This window comes from Homo sapiens, chromosome 8 (assembly GCF_000001405.40).
Source record: "Homo sapiens chromosome 8, GRCh38.p14 Primary Assembly".
NCBI classification, from domain to species: domain Eukaryota; kingdom Metazoa; phylum Chordata; class Mammalia; order Primates; family Hominidae; genus Homo; species Homo sapiens.
Window position 1 is genome coordinate 63,361,440 of NC_000008.11, and position 4,787 is coordinate 63,366,226.

At 39.7% G+C, this 4,787-nt stretch overlaps 1 annotated feature.

Annotated features, from left to right (window-relative positions):
• Positions 1,234-1,765: an enhancer, noted in NCBI's record as "OCT4-NANOG-H3K27ac hESC enhancer chr8:64275231-64275762 (GRCh37/hg19 assembly coordinates)". NCBI's record gives its function as "activates a minimal SCP1, AML or CMV promoter by ChIP-STARR-seq in naive H9 embryonic stem cells {active_cell/tissue: H9 hESC(naive)}" and the evidence as "EXISTENCE:reporter gene assay evidence [ECO:0000049][PMID:30033119]".

Below are 4,787 nucleotides of genomic sequence, written 5' to 3' on the forward strand. Positions count from 1 at the left end.
CTCATAAAAATCTCTATAAATTGCCAATATTATGATAGGCTAGTTGGTTTAAGCAATGGTCTCATTTCAGGGGTGCCCAGGGTGAAGGGCTGTATAAACTCTCTCTTTCATACCCATATATGGCTGCTCTCACAGAATATTGATGAATTAATTCAGGTAGGGAATATGAGAAGGACATTCAAAGAATTCCATGGCAGAAGCAATTTCTCAAGAAGAGAAGCAGAAAGCTTATTTAGGAAGCTGTTTGGTTTTTGTGAAAATTCCCTTTTAAGATATTAGTTATGGGAAGAGGAGTTGGGATCTAATGTTCGGGAATAAAAGAGTCTAGCTGCTTGCAGAAAAGTTTCAGGTTAATTAAAGATTCAATATTTTCACCTCTGAGTGCAGGGTAATGTTAGCTAACCAAGTGGCAATTTCATAGACCTGGCTTAATGATTTGATGATGAGCCATCCTGGGGTTTTTTTAACCAGTTATGAGATGACAGAGAGGGGAAATAAAGTGAGCTGGAAGGGAAGAAAACAAAGATTGACTTTCTGAAAGACATTTTAACTCATTTTCACTCTCTAATAAGATTGTATGAATTTCTTGAAATGGGAAGATACTGGGAAAAGTCTTATAAAAAGTTTATGTGTATATATACATACAGATATATCTATGTAAATAGGCAAAATACAAAGGAATAAATCAAAGAATGAAATAAATTAAAACAGACTACTAAAACATGTTTGAATAAATTTAAAAGGGCAAGGAAGGATGAAAAGAGAAACAAAAATTATTGAAGACAGAAAGCAAAATAATAGAACGGTAGACCTAAATCCAAACACCACACACACACACACACACACACACACACACACACACACACACACAGTGTGGTTTTCTGCATTAATATGACAAGTAGTTTGGCCACGTTTCTTAACCTGTTAGTGTTCCATTTCCGTACTTATAAAGCCGAGTTTGTAGCCAGCTCTTTATCTTGCTGAAGGGTTAGGAGGATTAATGGAGTCTTACGTTGGTTCTGAGTATCACCCTCTGAAAGTGCAGCACCAAATTCCACTTTCCATACCACACCATAAAAATCTACTAAATGAAAATGAGTGGATAAGGAATGCTGCATTTCCGTTCTCTGGCATTCTCACACTTCACCCATGACATTTAGCTCCAATACTGCAGATCCTCTTCTTCGCCTTAACTCTCTTCTGATTTCTGAGAATTAAGTCGGACTTCAGAATTGGCAACTGAGATGTATTCTACTAGTTGGTGTTGACAGATTTTTATTATATTGAGACTAGAAATTTTTTTTAGCAGCATGCATGTGAAAGTGCAGGCAAGACAGGGAAGAAAAAGAATGTGCTGGCGTGTTAGACAGTAATGCATACCCTGGAACACCGAGTGTGCAGAAACGAGAGGACGCAGGAGTAAGATTGCACAGATCTTACTCCTGTGAGATACAGGTCTCCAGTGAGAAATCCTAATCCCTGTGATTACCATCAGTAGGAGTAAGACAAATGACCTTTAAAAAGGAGAGGTAGCTTGAAATTTCCCTTTGTTTTGCTATGAGTTCCCTGCTGGTCCTTTATCAGTTTTCTTTCCCTGGGTCTGGAAGGTTCAGGGCTGATTGTTTTCAGCAGACAGCTGAGTTCTCTCCAGCTCTACTCTCCACAATGGTACTAAAGGGCTACACTTATTAGCAGCAGGTCCTTTCTAGGGAAGAGCTACGTAATTTTTAAGGGGACCTAAAATAATTTAGTTCAGAAAAATACCATTATGATCGGCCAGCTCAAAAAAGTGCTGCTGAGCTGACTATAATTCATCTGCCTCCTTTAACAGCTACCATTTAAGTTGCATTTGAACACTGAAAACAAATAGGCTTTCATTGTATGTCTGAAATCTTTAATATAGCTTCAAAGTTCCAGAGGAAAATACTGCATTGCAGCTCTCCTGTTTTTGCAGCGAATCTCTGTTGGCATGTGGCTGCAGAGGAGGGGCCACCACAAAAGCCTCCTGTTTTCAGCTCAACTCAGCAGATCCCTCAGCTCCAGACTATAATGAAAGAAGTGTCCTCAGCTTGCCCGGGGCAAAGGAGGCTGGGGAGGGAAGGCTACATACACAGGTACTAATTGAACAGATTTGGTTATCTTTTTTATTTATTTTTTAAAAATTATTGAATATTTATCAGGCAATACACTTTTTTCAAGTAGCCAGACATTTTTCTTTTTGAATTCTAGAGAACTTATGAAGCAGATTCAAGATACCCAATATATTCTGGCCATTCTTACAGGTCTTGCTTAACTTTAACAACAGCAGATGTACATTCTGGGTCTTGGCTATCAGCAGTCTGGCCAGAGAAAGGCCCACTGCAAACTGAGCAAAATTTGGTGAAAGATTTAGAAGATTCATTCATTCATTCATTCACTCATGTATGCATGCATTCTCCATGCATTAATCGAATATTTCTACCATATTCTGGGCACTGGAAATGCAGAGATAAACAAGACCTAAATCGTCAACTTCAAAAGTTGCTTTTTAACCCATGCCAAATAGCAGTTTTCAAGAGTGTCTGGATGTCCCCTCAATCTCCTTTCTTTGTTTGCACACTAGGACCTGGGGCTGGCTCCACTGCAGTGTCCTTTAGTCCAATCAGAGCAGTTTCATGCCACTTTTCTTTAAGACTTTGCTGCTAAATTTCATTTGTTGAGGAGTGGAGCACACGTGGGACATACAAACATCAGTTATGCCAAGAATGACTCGTGCTTTAGGTAATATTATATCTCCTTTTACAGATGCAGACAGATGAGGTAAAGTGACTTGCCAAAGCTCATTCAGCTAGTGAGTGATAGAGCAGATTCCGACTCAGAGTCCTCACCTGCTGCACCTCCTGTCTCCAAGGTGATCTAATATGAGCTTGCTTTGGCATAGAGTGCAACCAAACCAGCAACTCCTGGGACTCTTAAATACAAATCTGAGGCCTATTAGAATGGCTTTGACCTCACTTAAAAAAATTTCTTCAGTCTTTCTGTAGCAGTAATTTAGGCTCACAGGATGCTTATTTCTACTAAAGTACTATTAATAGTTTGCCAAAAGTTTGCCTTTTCTATCTCTTTTCCTCCCTTCAGTGAATTAATTGTGTTATCAGCTGCCCTTATTACAGTGTTGTCTATTTAAAGCAGTTATGATGGTTTCCTCCTGAAATGCAACCATCAAAAATTCTGCTTTAGTAACCCAGAGCATTTTCCCTTTAAAGGTATAAAGAGAATTATAAAAAAATTTACTGTATGAGACTTGTGCTTTTTCATAACAACATGAAGCTTCTAAAAAAATCTTGCCTCAATTTTTAACAGAGAAGCCTTGTCTATTACTCCAAAAGCAGGTCTGTTTGAGAAAATGTTTTGCAGCTGAGAGCAGTTTGAAAGAGGCTCTTGGTGAGCTTTTGTTCTTGCCTGTTTAACAGCTTAAGGTTTAGAGAAGCCCATTTGAGTTCACCTTTTGCATTTGAGTCCAAAAACTGAATCCATTAAAGGGCTCTCTTGAGCCTGCAGTGAATTTCAGAGCTCCTAGGAGGACGCTCCAGGCTCACTTAACCGGTTTGAAATTGCATGGCCTCGGGCTCCACTGTCTATTTGGAGGAGGATAGGAGTCAGGGAATTAGTTCAAAAGCTGCAACCACTTTTTTCCTTTTGTCTCTAATGTCTGTTGTTCAGCATTGGTTCCGCACCATTTGCAATATTTTAAGAACCATTCCAGAGCACCTAAGTCATAGCAGTTAGAATTAATATTGTTCTATCACCTTTTCCATTACTTTTCATATTTGCACCTATGTCATCCATATGCGTTTGGTTTGGAAACTTGGAGGATGAAAAAAATAATGCAGACTTTCTCTCCAGTCCCAGATGGAATTTTCATTTGTTTTTGTTTGTGGTTTTTGGTATGTGTGTGTGCATGTGTGTGTGAGAGAGACAGAGCGAGAGAGAACATAGGGAACAGAGGGAGGACTTTGATCTCTGACAGCCAGATCATGCAGAGAATGAACATATTGAAACTGTCTTTGCAAAAATTATAACAGTGAGAAAATTATGACAGTGAAAGAGATCTGACCTAGCTTCTTGCTTCTAAACCTCAAGCTGTCCTTGTTCATTCCTGGGCACAGGTGAACTAACTTTGGGAAGAATTTAGTATATAGTTTAACTTTGAAACAAAGATGATAACAGCCCTATCCCAAAACAAACCCCCTTCTTTCCCAGGGACCAGTCGGCCTTTGTGGGGCTAGCAAATTAGCTACAAGATTAGAAATTATATCTGAGGAGTCATGCAGCCAGAAGGTGCAAGATTCTGAACCTTCCCAAATTGCTCCTGGGATTACTGTTGCAAAATCTAAGATCAGTGCTTGAGATGTTTTGCAGATTCTGTATTCCCATGCACCAGCTGATGCCACCCGGACCTGTAACTGGCTCAATAAATTCTGCAATCCTACCCAGGAACAGAAGACAGCAAGGAAAACCCGTTGAACCCCTGTGATTTATTCTTTGACCCAAACAATTGGCACTCCCTACTTCCCAACTCCCTATCTACCAAATTATCCTTAAAAACACCCGATTCCTGAATTATCAGGGATACTAATTTGAGTAGTAATCAAACTCCAGTCTTCGGTACAGCCAGCTCTGCATGAATTAAAGTCTGAAGCAGTGCCATTGTCTGGGGTAATACCCGAGATTCGTTGCCTCATGCCAAGGAAATTAAGGACACAGACACACGTGGAGTGAGGTTAACAGCAGAGGCTTAATAGGCG